This window comes from Homo sapiens, chromosome 19 (assembly GCF_000001405.40).
Source record: "Homo sapiens chromosome 19, GRCh38.p14 Primary Assembly".
NCBI lineage: Eukaryota > Metazoa > Chordata > Mammalia > Primates > Hominidae > Homo > Homo sapiens.
This window is the reverse complement of record NC_000019.10, coordinates 57,823,432-57,846,746: the sequence shown is the minus strand read 5'-3', so window position 1 is coordinate 57,846,746 and position 23,315 is coordinate 57,823,432. Positions and strand designations below refer to the sequence as shown.

At 46.7% G+C, this 23,315-nt stretch overlaps 1 protein-coding gene and 1 pseudogene across 3 annotated transcripts; one reads left to right on the top strand and one right to left on the bottom strand.

Moving 5' to 3' along the window:
- Positions 1–508: 508 nt before the first annotated feature.
- Positions 509–16,448, bottom strand: ZNF587B (zinc finger protein 587B). 2 transcript variants are annotated; one of them, NM_001204818.2, is made up of 4 exons: positions 16,183–16,448; positions 7,598–7,724; positions 4,951–5,909; positions 509–2,491 (listed from the first exon to the last, which is right to left on the bottom strand). In NM_001204818.2, exons 1-4 carry the CDS (start codon positions 16,216–16,218, stop codon positions 2,405–2,407), a joined length of 1,209 nt encoding a protein of 402 aa, NP_001191747.1. In that variant the 5' UTR covers positions 16,219–16,448; the 3' UTR covers positions 509–2,404. The 2 variants fall into 2 exon arrangements, with proteins under 2 accessions (NP_001191747.1, NP_001363152.1); NM_001376223.1 differs by having other exon boundaries at positions 509–5,909.
- Positions 16,449–19,284: 2,836 nt separating this feature from the next.
- Positions 19,285–21,467, top strand: FKBP1AP1 (FKBP prolyl isomerase 1A pseudogene 1; annotated as a pseudogene). Its single transcript, NR_024162.1, has 2 exons — positions 19,285–19,310; positions 19,832–21,467. The product of NR_024162.1 is annotated as an FKBP prolyl isomerase 1A pseudogene 1 (transcript).
- The last annotated feature ends 1,848 nt before the right edge of the window (positions 21,468–23,315 follow it).

The window sequence follows — 23,315 nt, the reverse complement described above, 5'->3', positions numbered from 1 at the left end:
CCAAAGTGCTGGGATTATAGGCGTGAGCCATCGTGCCTGGCCTCAGAATCAATTACAGGTGCGGTGGCTCATGGCTCAGGCCTGTAATCTGAGCACTTTTGTAGGCCAATGCAGGCAGATCACTTGAGGCCCAGAGTTTGAGATGAACCCGGTAACACAGTGAAACCCCATCTCTACTAAAAATACAAAAAACAGCTGGGCATGATGGCTTACGCATGTAATCCCAGCTACGTGGGAGGCTGAGGTGGGAGACTCACTTGAACCTGGGAGGTGGAGGTTGCAATGAGCCAAAATCACACCACTGCACTCCAACCTGGTAGAGAGTCTTGAAAAAAAAAAAAAAAAAAAGTATGCAGCAACTAAAATATCCATAAATGGATGGATGAATGAATGAATATACAATGACATTTCACGGCAGACTATACTTCTCAGCAACATAAAACGAATGAACAACTCATATATCTACAATGACATCAAAATAAGCATGATGCAGGAGAGCACCCAGGGATTATAAGAGGAAACACTTTATTACATCAGTCAGAAAATTCCAGAAAATGGAAAGTACTCCATCATACAGCAAAGTAAATCAATGGTTGTTTGAAGAGCAGAGAGAAAAACTTTATAAAGGCTCCAAGTAAATACAAAGGTGATAGATTAGATAAATTCATTATGGTGACTCTGATGATGGTTTCACGGGATTATAATAAAATTCAAGACTTATCCTACAGCTCAAATATGTGTACTTTATTGGATGTCATTTATATCTTTATTTTATTTTTAAGATGGGGTCTCACTCTATCACCCAGGCTGGACTGCAGCGTTGCAATCTTAGCTCACTGCAACTTCTGCCTCCCAGGCTCAAGCAATCCTCCCACATCACTAAGACTAAGGTACATGCCACCATACCTGGCTATTTTTCCTAGAGACAAGGTTTTGCCATGTTCCCCACACTGGTCTCAAGGAATCTGGCCTCCCAAAGTGCTGGGAATACAGGCATGAGCCATGATGCTCAGCCTATACCTTATTACAGCTTTTATAACACGGTTTAAGAGAAAAATACAGATTTGCCATCATTTTTGGTGACAGGTTTGGCAATTTTATGTTGACTTTACCAATTCTTCTCATGCCCTAAGTGGGGAAACTAGCCTCCATAGAAGCAAATATTGATGTAGCAGGAAGGTCATTTCTACCTGATTGAACTGGATCACTGGCTGGTCACAAAGCTACATCACTGAACTGAGATCTTTTTCCCTATTCTGTTCCTCCTGTTAATACAGGAGTTACCTTAAGGTGAGCAGCCCAAAAGGTTACATGAATTCACAAAACCTTTAGATTATTTCCTCTGACCAAAGCTTAGCTACACAACATTCATTATTATGGAAGTCTTGAGAATTTCTGTATCTGCTTATCCATCACAGACACAGTGACTGGATAACTGTGGACACTCCTTTAAAAGACATACATTTCAGCCAAACACAGCGGCCCACACCTGTAGTCCCAGCACTTTGGAAGGCGGAGGTGAGCAGATCACCTGAGCTCAAGAGTTGAATTCAAGACCAGTCTGTGCAACACGGTGAAACCCGTCTCTACTAAAACCACAAAACATTAGTGGTGTGGTGGCATGCACCTGTAATTCTAGCTACTTGGGTGACTGAGGTGGGAGAATCGCTTGAACCCAGAAGGCACAGGTTGCAGTGAGCCGAGATGGTGCAACAGCACTCTAGCCTGGGTGACAGAGTGAGACTGTGTCTCAAAAAAAAAAAAAAGATATATTTCAAAAACTTTATTGCTGTCCCCTCTGCTGACTATAAATGCAGTAACTAAGTAACCATAAAATTATAATTTCATCCTATAGCCTTACAACCTGTGATGTTGCCTTACAGAATTCTGGATATCATGGCACATGTGTGCCTTGTAAGATCTGCTGAACAGAGTTCCCTCAACAGTACCGAGCACAGTGCAATATACCTCATAAGAGAGAATTTTGTCTGGTTCAAAAAAAATCACCAATCTTTCAGTGTGATATTGACACTAAAATAAAAAACCCACCAGAGGTTGTTATAAAAACTGCCCTGTACCCAGCTGACCTATGAACCCACAATCTGTAGTATCCATGCTACAGATGAAGACCACAAAGCCATGAAGTCGTCCACTGGAGGCCTTGGGCAGCTATGCAAATAGGCCACAAGTGAAGAAAGCTATATTCTGCATTCATGCTGTCCCTTGGGCCACGCAGTTTAGCTATGCTGTCCTTCAAGGTAGCAGGACCCAGGCTGGAGTGCAGTGGCATGATCTCAGCTCACTGCAACCTCTACCTCCCGGGGTTCAAGCAATTTTCCTGCCTCAGCCTCCTGAGTAGCTGCGGCTACAGGTGCGCCACCATGCCCGGCTAATTTTTATATTTTTAGAAGAGACAGGATTTCACTATATTGCCCAGGCTGGTCTTGAACTCCTTCCTGTCCTTGTGATCCACCCACCTCGGCCTCCCAAAGTGTTGGGATTACAGGCATGAGCCACCATGCTTAGCCAAAATAGTCCATCTTTTCAAGTCAGCACAAGAGTCCTCTGGGACAAAAATGGGGAAGGTCCATGGTGTAACTTATCAGAAAGAAATGAAAAAGCAAGAAGTGCTGAGGCTACTCAACAAATCCTTCTGTGACCAGATCTGGAATTAAAAATTAAAGAAATAAAAAAGTCCCAGCATGGTGACTTATGCCACGCCTATAATCCCAACATTCTGGGAAGCCAGGCAGAAGGATCACTCGAGACCAGCAGTTTGAGACCAGACTGTGCAACACAGCAAGACCCTGTCTCTACAAAAAATATAAATTTAAAAAATTTTTAAAAAGGCCAGAAGCAGAGGCTCACACTGTAATCCCAGCACTTTGGGAGGCCAAGGCAGGTGGATCACGAGGTTAGGAGTTCAAGATCAGTTTGACCAACATAGTGAAACCCCATCTCTACTAAAAGTACAAAAATTACCTGGGTGTGGTGGCAGGCACCTGTAATCCCAGCTACTCAGGAGGCTGAGAAAGGAGAATTGCTTGAACTCAGGAGGCAGAGGTTGCAATGAACCAGGATCACACCACTGCACTCCAGTATCGGTGACAGTGAAACTTTGTCTCCAAAAAAAAAAAAAAAAAAAACAAAAAAAAACAACCAACCAACCAACCAACCAACCAAACAAAAAACTTAAAAAAAAAATCTCTCGTGAATGGGAGACAACCAAAATATACTTCTAGAATACGAAATAGGTGAATGATGCAATGTGGGTACCTACCAAGTAGCTGAGATGTAATGGCTTTTGCCAGATAAGTGGCAGTCACATAAGTCTAGCAAGATAACAGGGCATAGTAAAAAATATAATACAGATGCCACATGCCTGGAGTTTTTTCAATTTGGGCACATGGTGCCCTCAAAGGATCTCCTCCCATGTTACACAGAAAAACATAATTGGCTGAGCACAGTGACTCAAACCTACAATCTCAGCACTTTGGGAGGCTGAGGTGTACAGATTGCTTGAGCTCAGGAGTTCGATACCAGCCTGGAAACATGGTAAAACCCTATATCTACTAATATGAGAAAATAGCCAGGCATGGTGGTGCATGCCTGTGGACCCAGCTACATGGAGGCTAAGGTGGGAAGATCACTTGAGCCTAGGGGGCGGAGGATGCAGTGAGCTACGATCGCAGCACTGCACACCAGCATGGGTGATGGAGTGAGACCGTCTCTCCAAAAAAAGGAAAAAATAATAACATTCCCTATATATCTAACCTATACATCTACAGTGTTTTTCTCATCTCAGTGTTCTAGGATTCAATGACAGAAGGCACAGTGCTTTTTTGCAAACATTACATTCAAAAGGCATTTCCGTAGTGACAGCTCTCCTGTGAGTTTTGAAGCCAGACTTCTGGATAAATAGCCTATATTTGCCACACTAGTAAGGCCTTCATTCAGTGTTAAATATAATCCTGAAGGAATACAGAGGTGTGGCTACAAAACTGCCAAATTTATTTTACTTGTAAGGACTTTTCTCTGGTGTGAACTCTCCAATGTCCAAGGAGAGCAGACTTCTTTTGGGTAAACATTTTCCACATTTGCTGCAATCACAAGATCTTACTCAGGTGTGTGCTCTCCTGTATTTAATGAGACTGGACTCATTCTCTGCACTCATAAGGCCTTTCTTTCATGAACTCTCTGATGGTAACGAAGTGAAGAGCTTTTCCTAAATTTTTTTTCACATTCACTACACCCATAAGGCTTTTCTCCAGTGTGAACTCTCCTGTGATTAGTGAGACTGGAGATTCCAGCAAAAGATTTCCCACATTCACTGCACTCATAAGGCTTCTGACCAGTGTGAACTCTCCTGTGACTAGTGAGATAGGAGCTTGCAGCAAAAGATTTCCCACATTCACTGCACTCATAAGGCTTCTGACCAGTGTGAACTCTCTTATGAACAATGAATGCACAGCTGTGGGTAAATGACTTCCCACAATCACTGCATTCATATGGCCTTTCTCCAGTGTGAACTCTCTGGTGTGCAGTGAGGTGGCACTTGTGCCTAAAAAATTTCTGACAAGCCTCACAAGCATATGGCTTCTCTCCACTGTGAATTCTCTGGTGTACAAGGAGGTGAGACTTCTTCTTAAATAATTTTCCACATTCCCAACACATATAAGGCCTTTTTCTAGTATGGCCATGCTGGTGTAGAATGAGGTTACCCTTGTGACTAAAACATTTCCCACATTCCCCACACTTATAAGGTCTTTCTGTAGTGTGAACTCGCTGATGACTCCTAAGGTGTCCTTTTTCATTAAAAGATTTCCCACAGTCTCCACACTTGTAAGGTCTTTCTCCAGTGTGCATGCGCTGATGGATCCTAAGGTGCCCCTTTGAAATATAAGATTTCCCACATTCTCCACACTTGTAAGGTCTTACTTCAGTGTGAATGCGCTGATGGTAACTAAGGCTGGGCTTCCGACTAAAAGATTTCTCACATTCTCCACACTTGTAAGGTCTCTCTCCAGTGTGAATGCGCTGATGACTCTTAAGGTTCACGTTTGAACTAAAAGATTTCCCACATTCTCCACACTCATAAGGCCCTTTTCCAGCGTGAACTTTTTGATGGCGCCTAAGATATCCTTCTAAGCTAAAATATTTCCCACATTCTTCACACCCATAAGGTTTTCCTCCAGTGTGAAATTGCTGATGTTGAATGAGGCTGCTCTTTTGACTAAAAGATTTCTCACATTCTCCACATTCATAAGGTCTTTTTCCACTGTGAACTCTCTGATGATTACTGAAGCTAACATATTTGCTAAAGGATTTCCCACATTCACAGCACACATAACATTCTTCTCGAGGGAGAAGTCTCTGGTGCTGACTGAGTATATGTTTGGTGCTAAAATGTTTCATGGAATCTCCATGGCTATAGTGAGCTCCCCCACACTGAAAGGGAGACACACACTCAGTTTTGCTGTTTGACTTCTCCCCAGTGTGACTGGCCTCCTGCTGGAGTAATCCTGACCTGGGCAAAAAGTCCTTCCCACTCTCACTGAAGACAGATGACTCCCCTGACACATGCAACTTACACCTCTTCACAAACAACGCCTCCTCAACACTCCCTCTGTAGGGTTTCTCTCCAATGTGCTCATTCTGGTGCTGATGAAAGTTTCCACTGTCATACAATTTATTCCCCCAGGCCTCACACCTGTGCAGTTTCTGCTTGTGATGTGTTCCCTGATGATCTGCCACATGCAAAATGTCTCCCAAGATCGGGCCACACATCTCACAGGGGTGGGCCTTCTTGGGAGACACACCTGTCACAGGAGTCCTGACCTGAGTCTCTCTTTGTATATAAATACTCTGCTTAGAAGGTGCCGCCTCATCTTCCACTCCACACCAACAACCTGAAAGCAAGAAAATGCTGGTGAAGTGCATGTTAACTCTGGTGGGAAGGCACAGACCACCCACAAGTGTATGTGAAAAACTGAGGAATTACTCCAAGGAACTACTTGGAGGAACAGGATGTTGGCTTCAGATGGAAGATGGTGCTATGTATTATTACTGGACTATAACGGTCACAGAATGTAGGAGGCCTCATAAGTTAAAGGACACAACCATGTATGTAACACAGGGAGTAGAGGCAGGGTCTACAATCCCTGCATCTGCAAACCACTCATCTGCAGAATTTATGTCCTCATGACATGTGAGTGCTGTAGAGAGGGATTTGTCCAGGCCAAGGAAAACACAAGCACAACACAGCAGCTTCTGCTTGAGGACAGTTTGTAACAAAGCGTATATACTTGCTAACACAAATCTCTATGCAAATACTGGAGAACACGCAAATGGTGACATATGTAAAATGGATGAGATTTGGGGTCCAGAGATGTGAAGATTAGATAGGAGAATGGATATTAGGGTACGAGTTCATGTACAAGTAGGTCAAAGCTTAAAAAAAGGAGTAGAAATGATAAGATAGACAAGTGACAAGTGTGATGTTCTCAAGAATGAGGAAGAAAAGACAAATTATGTGTGCCTACTTCTCTTGCCACAAAAATGCTACTAAAGTAGAATAGGTTCCTGGTATGCTTTCAATAAAGCCCTGACTCCATGACCTCCTCCAGGGTGCTGCTTTTTTTTTTTTTTTTTTTTTTTTTTTTTTTTTTTTTGGAGACAGAGTCTCGCTCTGTTGCCCAGGCTGGAGTGCAGTGGCGTGATCTGGGCTCACCACCTCTGCCTCCTGGGTTCAAGCAGTTCTCTGCCTCAGCCTCCTGAGTCGCTGGGACTACAGGCACATGCCATCATGCTCGAGTGATTTTTTTATATTTAGTAGAGACAGGGTTTCACCATCTTGGCCAGGCTGGTCTTGAACTCCTGACCTTATGATCCACCTGCCAGGGCCTCCCAAAGTGCTGGGATTACAGGAGCGAGCCACCATCCCCAGCCCAGGGTGCCACTCTTTAGGGACTCACTCCTTCTGAGCCTATTATGCTGAGGCTGAATTCATTTGCATCTTCTGGATCAAATGGAGGACTGTGCCTCCCACCACAATGATGACCAAATACATGGGACATGAATGATGCACAGACTAAGGGAAAGACAGAACAAGGGAACAGCCAACATTGTCTCAGAACAACTCAGCCCATGAGAGAAAAAAACTGAGTATTTGAAGGAGAATTTCTAAAGAAGATCTTGCAAGAACAGCCTCTGGTCTATATAGGCAGTGATGTAGTCTGTGAAGGCAATTCCTGCCACAGGAAGGCATAAGAAAATAGCAGCTAGAGAAAGGAAGTAGACTGTGGGTACACAGGAACCTGAAATCTGGACAAGGACACCCAAACATCCACAGGACTAACAAGGTGGGCTTCTGACTGGGAATCCCTCCCTGGGAGCCTGCAGTAAAGCAGGTGCTGGGGCTGCTCCAAGAAAGGAGTAGGGCAGTATGTACACCTCAGTCCTACAACCAAGAACCTACCCATAGAACTGAAGCAGGAAGCTGTGTCCATGCTCCTGACATGAGAAAGTCTTGCCAATGGGGAAAGACAGGGGAAAACAGAGACTAGCTCAAGTCACAGGGTGAGTGTGAGCAACTTACCCAGGGAGGACATAAGTGCCAGGTTCTCCAGAGTCACATCACGGTACAGGCATCTCTGAGCCTCACTAAGGAGATTCCATTCCTCCTGGGTAAATTTCACAGCCACGTCTTCAAAAGTCACTGTGCCCTGTTATGATGTTGACAGATGAAACCACAAACCACCCCTATGCTGAGGTATCACAATCCATCTCTCCCACACATCTACTCTCGCACATCCTCCTCTCAAGGTCCTCAAACATAGGAGAAACTAGGCCCACTGGTCATGGGGTACAGCCACCAACAATAGTTAGTTGAACAAATAGGTATCTGTGCAGTGGCTGTGACATAAAGTCCACCCACTCCTGACAGGCACTTTCCCTAGTATGGCCGAGGTCATGGGAAGCCCAATGTGGCACCTTCAGCACAGCAGAGATACCCTCTCTGAACGCACCTCATTCTTTAGACTTCCAGGTACATTCCATGTCCATCCCCAGCTGACTGCCACACACCACTGGCCTCTCTCTGGCCTTTAAACAACTTAAAGTATCTTTTTTTGTTTGTTTGTTTGTTTGAGATGGAGTCTCCCTCTGCTGCCAGGCTGGAGTGCAGTGGCACAATCTCGGCTCACTGCAACCTCTGCCTCCTGGGTTCCAGCAATTCTTCTGCCTCAGCCTCCTAAGTAGCTGGGGCTACAGGCACCCGCCACCACATCTGGCTAATTTTTATATTTTTAGTAGAGACGGGGTTTCATCATGTTGGCCAGGATGGTCTTGATCTCTTAACCTCATGATCCATCTGCCTCGGCCTCCCAAAGTACTGGGATTACAGGCTTGAGCCACTGTGCCCGGCCACAATTTAAAGTATCTTTTTTTTTTTATTTTTTTTTGAGACGGAGTGCAATGACACGATCTAGACTCACTGCAACCTCTGCCTCCTGGGTTCTCCTGAGGATTCTCCTGCCTCAGCCTCCTGAACAGCTGGGATTACAGGTGTGCACCACCACACCTGGCTAATTTATGTATTTTTAGTAGAGATAGGATTTCACCATGTTGGCCAGGCTGGTCTCGAACTCCTGACTTTGTGATCCACCCACCTCAGCTTCCCAAAGTGCTGGGACTACAGGCATGAGGCACTGTGTCCAGCCAACTTAAAGTATCTTAATTTCCTCCTTTGTCTTCTACTAGTGTGGGTTGAAATCTCCCCCTAGGGTTACATTTTTGGTAAAACAAATGACATCTGATATTCTACAGATGTCGTCAAGAGCAGTTTCCAAATCAAATGTATTGAGCCAGGCGTGGTGGCTCGCACCTGTAGTACCAGTGCTTTAGGAGGCTGAGCCGGGTGGATCGCCTGAGGTCAGGAGTTTGAGACCAGCCTGGCCAATATAGTGAAACTGCGTCTCTACTAAAAATACAAAAAAACTAGGCCGGGGGCGTGGCTCATGCCTGTAATCCCAGCACTTTGGGAGGCTGAGACGGGCAGATGACGAGGTCAGGAGATCGAGACCATCCTGCCTAACACGGTGAAACCCCGTCTCTACTAAAAATACAAAAAATTAGCTGGGTGTTGTGGCGGGCACCTGTAGTCCCAGATACTTGGGAGGCTGAGGCAGGAGAATGGCGTGAACCTGGGAGGCGGAGCTTGCAGTGAGCCGAAATAGCACCACTGCACTCCAGCCTGGGCTACAGAGCGAGACTCCATCTCAAACAAAACCAAACCAAAAAAAAAAAACAAAACAAAAAAAAAACTAGCTGAGCGTGGTGGTGGGCACCTGTGATCCCAGCTACTCAGGAGGTTGAGGCAGGAGAATCACTTGAACCAGGGAGGCGAAGGTTGCAGTGAGTCAAGATCGCGCCATTGCACTCCAGCCTGGGCAACAAAAGCAAAATTGTGCCTCAAAAAAAAAAAAGGTATCACATATATTAACAGCCTGATAAGAGGGACACCACTCACCACAAAGAGCCACATGGGGGTTGGATTGTGGATAAAAGAGAGCAACCACGGCCATGGCATGCAAGCTTTGTAAGATGAAGAGAGTGTAATGGCCTGATTCCCTCAGGAGGATGCCATTGACTTATTTGAATAACTCTGGAGATAAAAATGGAATTGAAACTCACTACAAACTATAACAGGAACTCTGCCTGGTCCCATTCATTGATCGAAAGGCTTCAGAGGCTAGGATACATTCCTTTTTTTTTTTTTTTTTTTTTATGACGGAGTCTCACTGTCACCCAGGCTGGAGCGGGGTGGTGCAATCTCAGCTCACTGCAACCTCCGCCTCCTGGGTTCAAGCAATTCTCTTGCCTCAGCTCCTCAGTAGCTGGGATTACATGAGTGTACCACCATGCCTGGTTAATTTTTGTATTTTTAGTAGAGATGGTCTTTCACCATATTGGGCAGGCTGGTTTCAAACTCCTGATGTCAAATGATCCACCCATCTCGGCCTCCTAAAGTGCTAGGATTATAGGCATGAGGCACTGCACCCGTTCAGATATATTACTTAAGAGAGTGAAGTGGCCAGTCATGGTGTCTCACACCTGTAATCCCAGCACTCTGAGAGGTCGAAGTGGAAGCACTGCTTGATCGTAGGAGTTCAAGAACAGCCTGGACGACAAGGCAAGACCATGTTTCTACATACATACACGAGAGAAAAAATTTTAAATATATAAAAAGAGAGTTAAATGGGAAAGAAACTTGCACTCAGCCATTTGTGGTCATACCAATATGACCAGGCATCCAGGTGGCAAATCACACTGGGCCTTAATTTTTGGCCTTACACTACATCGTAGCTGACACCATCCAGAGTGTATGGCCCATTCAAACCGATCCAATATTACCACAGAATTGCAATTCTATTGGATCCTAAAAGGAGCGGTGGTCTCAAGTAATTCTGTGAGGACCTCCTTGCATGGCTCCACAGAAACACAGAACCATGTGTGGCTTCAGCTATCCATGACCCTATTCTACTTCTGTGCTACACTTGCCAGCCCCTCAGCAATGATGACCTTTCCCTCAATTACTTCTGTACTTCTGCCTGCATCTCATCTCTATTATCTCCATGGAAGTCTGCCCCACGACAAGCTATGCCCTCTGATACACCCTACATTCATTGTCACTTACCTCCCTCTCCTGTGTGAATGCATAACACAGGTTATGAATGCCAATAATGTCCGCCAGGGACCCAGGCAAAACATCTAGTCCTCAGCCTCCAATCAGTCCTTTCTGGTTCCCTAAAAGATTTACTACCTTATTATGAAGTGTGCCCTCCAAAATGGGACCCATGGCTAACGCACCTTAGTCCACACATTAGCTATCATATACTGGATGTCTCCAATATCAATTCCTTCCCAGATATCCCGACCTATGTGGACAAGCATCTCAGGGTCTGAGCATGGTGAAAACAACCCTCCTTATATTCCCAGTGACTGTATTATGCCTACTCCCAACTTGCTCATCTCAGCTGATACAGCTTCTATCACTGCTGCTGCTAAGGCCAAAACCCCTAGGGTTGCCAGGCACGGTGGCTCGAGTCTGTAATCCCAGCACTTTGGAAGGCTGAGGTGGGTGGATCACCTGAGGTCAGGAGTTCAAGACCAGCCTGACCAATACGGTGAAAAACTCTGTCTCTACTAAAATTACAAAAATTAGCCGGGCGTGATGCCGTGTGCCTCCTGTGGTCCCAGCTACTCAGGAGGCTGAGGCAGGAGAATTGCTTGAACCTGGGAGGCAGAGGTTGCAGTGAGCAGAGATCATGCTACTGCACTCCAGCCTGGTGACAGAACAAGACTCCACCTAAAAAAAAAAAAAAAGCAAAAACAAAAAACCCCCAGCGTCATACCTGAAACCCTCTTGCATGTCCTTACCGACCGCATTAGAAAATCTAGCTGCTCCTTTACCAAATGTAAATCACAATTCTAGCGACATCTCCTTGGCCAACAATCATCCATTAAACCTCACCTGGATGACAGAATGAGCCTCAACGCTGTCTTCCTTCCTCCTCCCTTAACCCCATGTTCCTTTCTCCAATGTGGAGCCAGGCAGAGAAGTAACATCACCTCCCCACTCTGATCAGTTTTATCTCTGAGCATTTCACATACTGCTACCAAATCCAAGGCTGACCTTCTAAGTGTTTACACAGTTTCACTGAAATGGGAATACCTCCATACCACCTGCGTTATGGACTTAGGGCCTAGGCTTTAGGGTTTCTCTAGTGTTTCCGGTTGAAAGGACTGAGCTCGAGAGGTGCAACAGAGCAGGATGGTGGAATAGAAAGCTGCACCCATCATACCCTTAACAGAACACCTTTTTTTTTTCTTTTTTTTTTTTAAGAGAGAGTCTCGCTCTGTCACCAGGGCTGGAGTCCAGTAGTGCTACCTTGGCTCACTGCAACCTCTGCCTCCGGGGTTCAAGCAATTCTCCCTAATTCTCCCTGCCTCAGCCTCCCAAGTAGCTGGGATTACAGGCACCTGCCACCACACTCGACTAATTTTTGTATTTTTAGTAGAGACACGGTTTTGCCATGTTGGCCAGGCTGGTCTCAAATTCCTGACTTCAGTTGATCCGCCTGCCTCAGCCTCCCAAAGTGCTGGGATTACAGGCGTGAGCCACCACACCCGGCCCAGAACACCAAATTTAAACACTATCAACACAGAAAAAAATCACCTTTGTAAGAACCAAAAATCAAATGAGCACTCACAGTACCTGGATTTAATTTTGTATTACTGGAAATGGCACTAAAAGGGGCTGTAGAGTCTTGAGTTGCCAATGCCACTCCTCCCCATCCCCCAGCAGTGCCTGCCTGTTGTGGAGAATCTGTGCTCCTGGGAAGGGAAAGCGCAGTGACTGTCAGACGTTGCACAGAACTCAGTGCTTCCCTGTCATAGCAGAAAGCAAAACTGGGCTGAACTCAACGGACGCCTACCCAGGGAGTAAGCATAGCGACCAGCCCAGCCAGAGGGGAATCGCCCACCCCAATGGTCAGGACTTGAGATCTGGCAAGCCTTGCCACTGTGGGCTGGAGGGCTCTGAAGTCCTAAATAAACTTGAAAGGCGGTCGAGGCCACAAGGACTGCAACCCCTAGGCATGTGCTGTGCTGAGCTGGGCTCCGAGCCAGGGGACCTGGTTGGGTTGGGGGAGCACAACCTACTGAGACACCAGTTGAGGTAGCTAAGGGTGTGCTTGTGCCACCCCTCATGCAACCCCAGGCTACGTGGCTCCTTCCTTCCACTCGAGGAGAGGAGAGGGAACAGCAAAAAGAACTTTGTCTTGCATTTTGGATGTCACCTCAGCCACAGGATAGGGCACTGGGCAGGGTTGTGAGGACCCATTCCAGGCCCACCCAGATAATATTTCTAGACACACTCTGGACCAAAACAGAACCTGCTGCCTTGAAGGGAAGAATTCAGTCATGGGAGGACCCATCACCTTCTGACTAAACAACCCTTGGACCCTGAATAACTAGCAGCAGTACCCAGGTAGTATGCGATGGCACTGGGTGAGACTCTGAGACATGCCAGCTTCAGATGTAACACAGCACACTGCCAGCTGTGGTGGTTACGGTCAGAGACCCCACCTGCTTGAGAATAACAGAGGAAAAAGTAAAGGGGACCTTGTCTTGCACCTCAGCTGCCAGCTCAACCACAGAGGGATAGAGCACCAAGAAGCCTCTTGGGGTCCCTGATTCCAGGCCTTGGCTCGTGGATGACATTGCTGGACCTGCCCTGGGTGAGTCTTGAAGAGTCAGCCTCAGACCAGGCAACATTCACCACAAGCTGACTGAAGAGCTCTTAGCCCTTAATGGAACCTCAGTGGTAGTCTGACAGCACTCCCTGTGGGCCCGTGCTGGTGGTGGCCACAGAGTGAGGCTGCTCTGCCTGTGGAAAGGGGATGGAAGAGTGGGAAGGGCTCTAGCTTGTAGTTTGAGTGCCAGCTCAGCTGCAGTGCAAAGGAACACCAGGTAGATTTCTAAGGATTTTTACTCCAATCCCTGGCTCATGGATGGCATCTGTATACCAACCTGAGGCCTGGGGAACTCACCGTCCTAAGGAGAAGGACATAAGCCTGTCTGGCTTTGCCACCTGCTGACTGTACAGGGCTAGGGCCTTGAGGGAACACAGGCGATAGCCATGTAGTGGTCACAGGAGCCTTGGGTGAAACCCAGTGCTGTGCTGGCTTCAGCTCTCACCCAGCACAGTCCCAGTGGTGGTAGCTAAAGGGGTGCTTCTGTCCCAACCCCCAGTTTCAGGCACTTCAGCACTGACAGAGACATGCTGGGACAAAGTGAGGGAAGACCCAACAAGAGTCTCTACCTGTTATGTTAATCAAGGGAAATCTTTCAGATCTTATTCAAGACCACAAAGGTGGTACAGCTCTCTGAGTCTGCAAGAGTCACAGCATTACTGAGTGTGGGGTTCCCGCTAAAGTAGATTCAGCTTAGATCACAACACCCGGGTCCTTTCAAATACCTGGAAACTCTTCCTAAGAAGGACAGGTACAAATGAGCCCAGACTGTGAAGACCACAATAAACACCTAACTGTTTAATGCCCAGACACTGACGAATATCTACAAGCATCAACACCATCCAGGAAAACGTGACCTCACCAAACAAACTAAATAAAGCACCAAAGACGAATCCTGGAGAAACAGAGATACGTGACCTTTCAGACAGATAATTCAAGATAGCTATTTTGAGGAAATTCAAAGAAATTCAAGACAAACACGGAGAAAAAATTCAGAATTCTATCAGATAAATTCAGCAAAGAAATTAAAATAATTAAATAGAATTGGCCGGGCACAGTGGCTCACGCCTGTAATCCCAACACTTTGGGAGGCCAAGGCGGGCGGATCACAATGTCAAGAGATTGAGACCATTCTGGCCAACATGGCGGAACCCCGTCTCTACTACAAATGCAAAAATAAGCCGGGCATAGTAGTGCATGCCTGTAGTCCCAGCTACTCGGGAGGCTGAGGCAGGAGAATGGCATGAACCCGGGAGGTGGAGCTTGCAGTGAGCCGAGATCGTGCCACTGCGCTCCAGTCTGGGCGATAGAGCGAGACTCTGTCTCAAAAAAAAACAAAAAGAAAAAGACAATTTGTATTTCACAGGGCACTCTGCTATAAAGGGTAAGATGTTTTGTTTAGTAAACAAATAAAAAAATAAAGACAGCCAGGCACGGTGGCTCACGTCTGTAATCCCAGCACTTTCGGAGGCCGAGGCGAGCGTATTGCCTGAGCTCGGGAGTTCGAAACCAGGCTAGGCAACATGGCGAAACCCCGTCTCTACTAAAAATACAAAAAATTAGCCGGGCATGGTGGCGGGTGTCTGTAATCCCAGCTACTTGGGAGGCTGAAGCAGGAGAATCGCTTGAACCCGGCAGGCGGAGGTTGCAGTGAGCCGAGATCACGCCACTGTACTCCAGGCTGGGTGACAGACTGAGACTCTGTCTCAAAAAAAAAAAAAATAAATAAATAAAATAAGCTGGGCTCGGTGGCTCGCGCCTGTAACCCCAGCACTTTGGGAGGCCGAGGCAGGTGAATCACCTGAGATCAGGTGTTCGAGACCAGCCTGACCTACATGGAGAAACTCCATCTCTACTAAACATACAAAAAATTAGCCAGGTGCAGTGGCGCATGCCTGTAATGACACCTACTCGGGAGGCTGAGGCAGGAGAATCGCTTGAACCCAGGAGGCGGAGATTGCGGTGAGCCGAGATCACGCCATTGCATCCAGCCTGGGCAACAAGAGTGAAACTCCGTCTCAAAAAAATAAAAAATAAAGACTGCATCTAACGAGGTAAGGTCACCAACGAGCACACTGTTCCACTATCAGTTCTCACTAGAGGATTCTGTGATGTAATGCCCAACCTTGTTTTTACTAACCCTGTTTTTAGATTCTCCCTTTCCTTTAATCACCTAGACTTGTTTCCACCTGAATTGACTCTCCCTTACATAAGAGAGCCAGACAGACTCCATCTTGGCTCTTTCACTGGCAGCCCCTTCCTCAAGGACTTAACTTGTGCAAGCTGACTCCCAGCACATCCAAGAATGCAATTAACTGATAAGATACTGTGGCGAGCTATATCCGCAGTTCCCAGGAATTCGTCTGATTGATAACGCCCAAAGCCCCCCATCTATCACCTTCTAATAGTCTTAAAGCCCCTGCACCTGGAACTGTTTACTTTCCTGTAACCATTTATCCTTTTAACTTTTCTTGCCTACTTTACTTCTGTAAAATTGTTTTAACTAGACCCCCCCTCCCCTTTCTAAACCAAAGTATAAAAGAAAATCTAGCCCCTTCTTTGGGGCCGCGAGAACTTTGAGCGTTACCCATCTCTTGGCCGCCGGCTAAATAAACGGATTTTTTTTTAAATAAACGGACTCTTAATTCGTCTCAAAGTGTGGCGTTTTCTCTAACTCGCTCAGGTACAGTGACTATAAAAGATTAGGCCTTCAGCAGCTCAAAAGGGCTGTCCTGACAGTCACTCCTAATAAAAACTCAGCATCTGCTGCCTATGGCTCTGCCACCTTAAAGACTCTTCCTTGCAAGACTACAGGCTTTTGGGTGATGATGAGGTGACCTGAGGGCATGGAAGGCACCACAATTACCTGAGCAGAGAGCCTCAGCGTGGCCACCACCGCCATCGAACCACGTGGTTTAAAGCAGGGTTGGGAGGAGAGGGTGACCAGCCAGGAGATATGGGCATGACGGTCCCTATCCTGGCCCAGGGGTGGGTCACGCTTGGCGCCGTCACAGAGCTCCAGAGTCGCCTCTGTGCAGCAGAGGACAACTGTTCTCCGCCTTCTGGGTTCAGTCACCGCAGTGCCGACCTAGCGCTCAGGAGCCTCTCCGACAAATAAACCCAACACCAATCAAAATGGCCGCCACCAGAGGGCGCCGGAAGTCCGGACCCATTGTCACGTGCACACAGGAAATGCCTTTATTCTGAGCCCCCATGGCTCTTCCACTCTGTCATTCCATGCGGAGTTTTCTGGGTAATGTAGTTCCCTAGGTAACAAGGAGGGTAAAGGGCACAATTCCCAGAGGCGGTTCTGCAGGAAAAGCCCAGCTCCACCTCAGGAGTATCCTTAAGATATGCGCCCTGACTGGTATGGTGGCTAGCTCCTGTAATTCCACCAGTTTGGGAGGCCAAGTCAGAAGGATCATTTGAGGCCAAGAGTTAGAGATTAGCCTGAGCAACAAAGCAAAATCCTGTTTGAAGGGGGCCTGCCCCTCCATACCTATGGGTATCTCTCATCAGGTGGAGACGAGAGACTGAGAAAAGAAATTAGACACAGAGAAAAAGTATAGAGAAAGAATAGTGGGCCCAGGGGACTGGCACATTCAGCATGTGAGGACCTTCACCGGCGCCGGTCTCTGAGTTCCCTCAGTATTTATTGATCATTATTTTTACTCTCTTGGTGAGGGGAGTGTGGCAGGGCAACAGGGTGATGGTGGGGAGAAGGTCAGCAGGGAAACACGTGAGCAAAGGAATCTGTATCATGAATAAGTTCAATGAAAGGTACTGTGCGTGGATGTGCACATAGGCCAGATTTATGTTTCACTTTAAACAAACATCTCAGTGTAGCAAAGAGCAACAGAGCAGTATTGCTGCCAGCATATCTCGCTTCTAGCCACAGGGTAGTTTTCTCCTATTTCAGAATACAACGAATGGGAATGGTTGGCTTTACACCATGACATTCCATTCCCAGGAATGAGCAGGAGACAGAAGCCTTACTCTTATCTCAACTGCAAAGAGGCCTCCCTCTTTCACTCCTCCTCCTCAGCACAGACCCTTTAAGGGTGTCCGGCTGGGGGATGTAAGGTCTTTCCTTTCCCATGAGGCCATATCTCAGGCTGTCTCAGTGGGGGAAACCTTGGACAATACCCAGGCTTTCTCAGGCAGAGGTCCCTGCAGCTTTCCGCAGTGCATTGTGTCCCTGGTTAATAGAGAATGGAGAATGGCGATGACTTTTACCAAGCATACTGCCTGCAAACATATTGTTAACAAGGCACATGCTGCACAGCCCTAAATCCATTAAACCTTGATTCAATACAGTACGTTTCTGTGAGCACAGGGTTGGGGCTAAAGTTACAGATTAACAGCATCTCAAAGCAGAACAATTTTTCTTAATACAGATCAAAATGGAGTTTCTTATGGCTTCCTTTTCTACATAGACACAGTAACAATCTGATTTCTTTTCCCCATATCCTGTCTCTGCAAAAAATAAAAAATATTAGTGGGGTGAGGTCAGGCAGGCCAGTGGTCCCAGCTGCCCCAAGGTTGGGGTTAGGGTTAGGGAGCCTGAAGGAGGGAGAATCGCTTGAGCTCAGGAGTTTGAAGCTGCGGTAAGCCGAGATCGTGCCACTGCACTCCAGCCTGGGCAACAGAGCAAGACCTCTTCTCTAAAAAATAAAAATAAGGGCTGGGTGTGGGTGGCTCACGCCTGTAATCCCAGCACTTTGGGAGGCTGAGGCGGGTGGATCACCTGAGGTCAGGAGTTCAAGTCCAGTCTGGCCAACATGGTGAAACCCCGCCTCTACTAAAAATACAAAAATTAGCTTGGCATGATGGCATATGCATATAATCCCAGCTACTCAGGAGGCTGAGGCAGGAGAATCTCCTGAACCCAGGAGTCAGAGGTTGCGGTGAGCTGAGATTGTGCCACTGCACTCTAGCCTGGGCGACAGAGCAAGACTCTGTATTGGAAAAAAATAAAATTAAATAAATAAATAAATAAAAGATTGCAGATCTTTCTACTGGGCAGAGGATCATCCTGCCTTTCCTTAAAACTCCTATTGAGATTTCTTGCAATTATTAGCTGTAGCTGATTACCCTAGTGTATGGAAAAATATTATTTCAGAGTTAGTGTAGGTGCTCCCAAAGGCTATAGATCTAAATTCACCTATCATTTCAAGTGGTCCTTTGATGCAAAATTCTTCCACTGGAAGCAGAGATTAATGCAAAGGTTAATAACCATTATTGTATTGTTAAAATGAATGTGTAAACACCCAGCGGGTTCATTTTGCCCACTGCCCAGATAGAGCCAATTTATCAGGACAGGAGAATTGTAAAAGAAAGAGTTTGATTCACACAGAGTTGGATGAACAGCAGACTGGAGTCTTATTAATATTACTCAAATCAGTCTTCCTGAAAACTTGGAGACTGGGTTTTTTTGTTGTTGTTTATTTGTTTGTTTGTTTTTTTGAGATGGAGTTTTGCTCCTGTTGCCCAGGCTGGAGTGCAAGGTCATGATCTCGGTTCACTGCAACCTCCACCTCATGAGACTGGGGTTTTTTAAGGATAATTTGGTAGATAGGGGGCCATGAAGTGGGCAGTCCTGATTGGTTGGGTTGGAGATGAAATCGTAGGTATAGCAGGACAAGCTGCAGACTAAACCCCTCAGACACCGAGTTAAAGAAGGAAGGGCTTTATTCAGCTGGGAGCTTCGGCAAGACTCACATCTCCAACAACTGAGCTCCCCAGGTGAGCAATTCTCGTACCTTTTACGGGCTCACAACTCTAAGGGGGTCTGTGTGAGAGGGTCGTGATCGATTGAGCAAGCAGGGGGTACATGACTGGGGGCTGCATGCACTGGTAATTAGAACGGAACAGAACAGGACAGGGATTTTCACAATGCTTTTCTATATAATGTTTGTAATCTGTATAACATTACTGATTAGGTCAGGGGTCGATTTTTCTTTTTTTTGATTTGAGTCTTGCTCTGTCGCCCAGGCTGGAGTGCAGTGGCATGATCTCGGCTCACTGCAAGCTCCACCTCCTGGGTTCACGCCATTCTCCTGCCTCACCCTCCCGAGTAGCTGGGACTACAGGTGCCCGCCACCACGCCCGGCTAATTTTTTGTATTTTTAGTAGAGACAGGGTTTCACCATGTTAGTCAGGATGGTCTCGATCTCCTGACCTCGTGATCCGCCCGCCTCGCCCTCCCAAAGTGCTGGGATTACAGGTGTGAGCCACCGCGCCTGGCCAAAAAAAAAAAAAAAGTCCGGGCCCAGTGGCTCACGCCTGTAACCCCAGCACTCTGGGCAGAGGTGAGGGGATCACGAGGTTAAGAGCTACAGACTATCCTGGCCAACATGGTGAAACCCCGTCTCTACTAAAAATACAAAAATTAGCTGGGCATGAATCCCAGCTACTGGGGAGGCTGAGGCAGGAGAATCGCTTGAATCCGGGAGGCAGAGGTTGCTGTGAGCCAAGATCGTGCCACTGCACTCCAGCCTGGGTGACAAAGAGAGGCTCTGTATCAAAAAATAAATAAATAAATAAATAAATAAAAGCCAAGGGTCTAGCCAGAGCTGTGGAACCGCCGCCAGGTCGCTGTTGGTCCACACCGCCCGTCGCGCTACCCGCCCACCCAGCATCGGCCGCCGCCATGGGAGTGCAGGTGGAAACCATCTCCCCAGGAGAGGAGTGCACCTTCCCGAGGCACGGCCAGACCTGCGTGGTGCACTACACCGGGATGCTTGAAGATGGAAAGAAATTTGATTCCTCCCGGGACAGAAACAAGCCCCTTAATTTTTAGCAGGAGGTGATCCGAGGCTGGGAAGAAAGGGTTGCTTAGATGAGTGTGGGTCAGACAGCCCAACTGACTATATCTCCAGATTCTGCCTACGGTGCCACTGGGCACCCAGGCATCATCCCACCACACGCCACTCTCGTCTTCGATGTGGAGCTCCTAAAACTGGAATGAAGGGAATGGCCTTCTCCCTCAGCTCCCTGTTCTTGGATCTGCCATGGAGGGATCTGGTGCCTCCAGACGCGTGCGCATGAATCCATATGAAGCTTTTCCTGAGGTTCCACTACACTCTGTATAGACATCTGCCCTGACTGAATGTGTTCTGTCACTCAGCTTTGCTTCCGACACCTTCCATTTCCTCTTCCCCCTTCTCCTTGTGTGTGTGTTTACCTAAACTATATGCCATAAACCTCAAGTTACTCATTTTATTTTGTTTTCATTTTGGGGTGAAGATTCAGTTTCAGTCTTTTGCATCTAGGTTTCCAATTAAGTACATGGTCAAGTATCAACAGCACAAGTGATAGATTCACTTTAGAATAGGAATTGGTGTTGGGGGGGTGTTGCAAGAATATTTTAATTTTTTCGATGAAATTTTTATCTATTAGATACTAAACATTCTTTCTGCTGCGCTGCAAAGTCATAGCAGATATGAGGTGCTGTTGAGGGATTAATTATTGTCCAAGTTGAGAGATGTCCTTCAGTTAAATTAAAATCCCTACCTAAAACCAAGGTGGTGATGGGGAGAGCCTTTGCTTCCACCAGTTCCCCCCCTTCCCTCGCTTTAAGCCCCTGCCTTTGAAAGTAGATCATGTTCACTGAGATGCTGGACACTGCAGGTATCTCTCCCTGGGCCAGCAGGGACCTCTGAAGCTTTGTTGCCTGGCTTATTTTTTTTTCCATCCTGTGGTTTTTCTAATGGACTTTCCGGAATTTTGTAATCTCATAACTTTCCAAGCTCCATCATTTCCTAAATCTTAAGAACTTTAACTGACAGTTTAAATTGAAGATGCTGTTTGTAGACTTCACACCCAATGAAAGCCCAGCCATTGCCGGGCACGGTGGCTCACGCCTGTAATCTCAGCACTTTGGGAAGCCAAGGTGGGTGGATCACCTGAGGTTGGGCGTTCGTGACTAGCCTGATCAACATGGAGAAACCTGGTCTCTACTAAAAATACAAAATTAGCCGGGCATGATTGTGCATGCCTGTAATCCCAGCTACTCGGGAGGCTGAGGCAGAATTGCTTGAACTGGGAGGCAGAGGTTGTGGTGGGCCGAGATCGTGCCATTGATTGCACTCCAGCCTGGGCAACAGGAGCGAAACTCCATCTCAAATTAAAAAAAAAAAAAAAAAAAAAGGAAGCCAAGCCATAAAAAGATTCCTCGAATATTCTCTGAAGAAAATGATGCTGGGGGCCGGACACACTGGCTCATGCCTGTAATCCCAGCACTTTGGGAGGCCTAGGCAGGTGGATCACCTGAGGTCAGGAGTTCAAGACCAGCCTGACCAACACGGTGAAACCCTGTCTCTACTAAAAATATTAAAAAGTAGCCAGGTGTGGTGGCAGGCACCTGTAATCCCAGCTACTCCGGAGGCTGAGGCAGGATAATCACTGGAACCCGGGAGGCGGAGGTTGCAGTGAGCTGAGACTTCACCATTGCACTCCAGATGGGGCAATGAGAGCGAAACTCCATCTCACACTTGATCTTAGCCAAAAGGTGGAGAAGCGTTGAACCAAAGCCACTGTGCCCGGGTGGGAAAGTTCTTTATAGATTTATAGTGCTTCTTTATAGATTAGTTCTTGCTAAGTGTTGAAAAGAGAATTGTAATTATCTAAAGAGGATTAATTCATCACTTAGGAAAAGCAGAGGTTAGTAAGAGGAAGTTACTTCTTTTAGAGTATGTGATTCAAAGGAAAAAATGTGATACATCAAATATACATGAACTGGCTAAACATTTCTAGGTACATATCGATTTATAAGCCACTGTAAGATTCAACACAATGAGGAAATTACTGGTGTAATAAAAATAACTGAGAGAGTGAAGGGGTGGCCTGCCCCTCCACACCTGTGGGCATTTCTCATCAGGTGGGATGAGAGGCTGAGAAAAGAAATAAGAGACAGAGACAAAGTATAGAGAAAGAAAAGTGGGCCCAGGGGACCGGGGCTCAGTATACGGAGGAACCCTGATGGCACTGGTCTCTGAGTTCCCTCGGTATTTATTGATCATTATCTCTACCATCTCGGAGAGGGGGATGTGGCAGGACAACAGGGTAATAGAGGCAAGAGGGTCAGCAGGAAAACCTGTGAACAAATGTCTCTGCATCATAAACAAGGTAAAGAAAAAAGTGCTGTGCTTTTGATGTGCAGATACATAAACATCTCAATGCATTAAAGAGCAGTATTGCCTCCAGCATGTCTCACCTCCAGCCCTAAGGCGGTTTTCTCCTATCTCAGTAGATGGAATATACAATTGGGTTTTACACTGAGACATTCTGTTGCCCAGGGATGAGCAGGAGACAGGTGCCTTCCCTTATCTCAACTGCAAAGAGGCCTTCCTCTTTCACTAATCCTCCTCAGCACAGACCCTTTACAGGTGTCAGGCTGGGGGAACAGTAAGATCTTTCCTTTCCCATGAGGCCACATCTCAGGCTGTCTCAGTTGGGGGAGACCTTGGACAATACCCAGGCTTTCTCAGGCAGAGGTCCCTGCGGCCTTCCGCAGTGCATTGTGTCCCTGGGTACCCGAGACTGGAGAATGGCGATGACTTTTACCAAGCATACTGCCTGCAAACACATGTTTACAAAGGCACATCCTGCACAGCCCTAACTCCATTAAACCTTGAGTCAATACAGCACATTTCTGTGAGCACAGGGTTGGGGCTAGGGTTACAGATTAACAGCATCTCAAGGCAGAATAATTTTTCTTAGTACAGGTCAAAATGGAGTTTCTTATGTCTTCCTTTTTCTACATAGACACAGTAACAGTCTGATCTCTCTTTCTTTCCCCCAGAGGAACCCTGCCTCATTGCCTTGATAAAAAGGGTTGTTAGGCTAGGATACATTATTCAAGAGAGCAGAGTGGGAATGAGATGAGATTTGTGCTCACACCTTTTAAGGTTGTCCCACTATCACAAGATGTCAAAGTGACACATCATATTGGGCCTTCAATTCTGGCCTTATACCAAAATGTGGATAAACATCCAG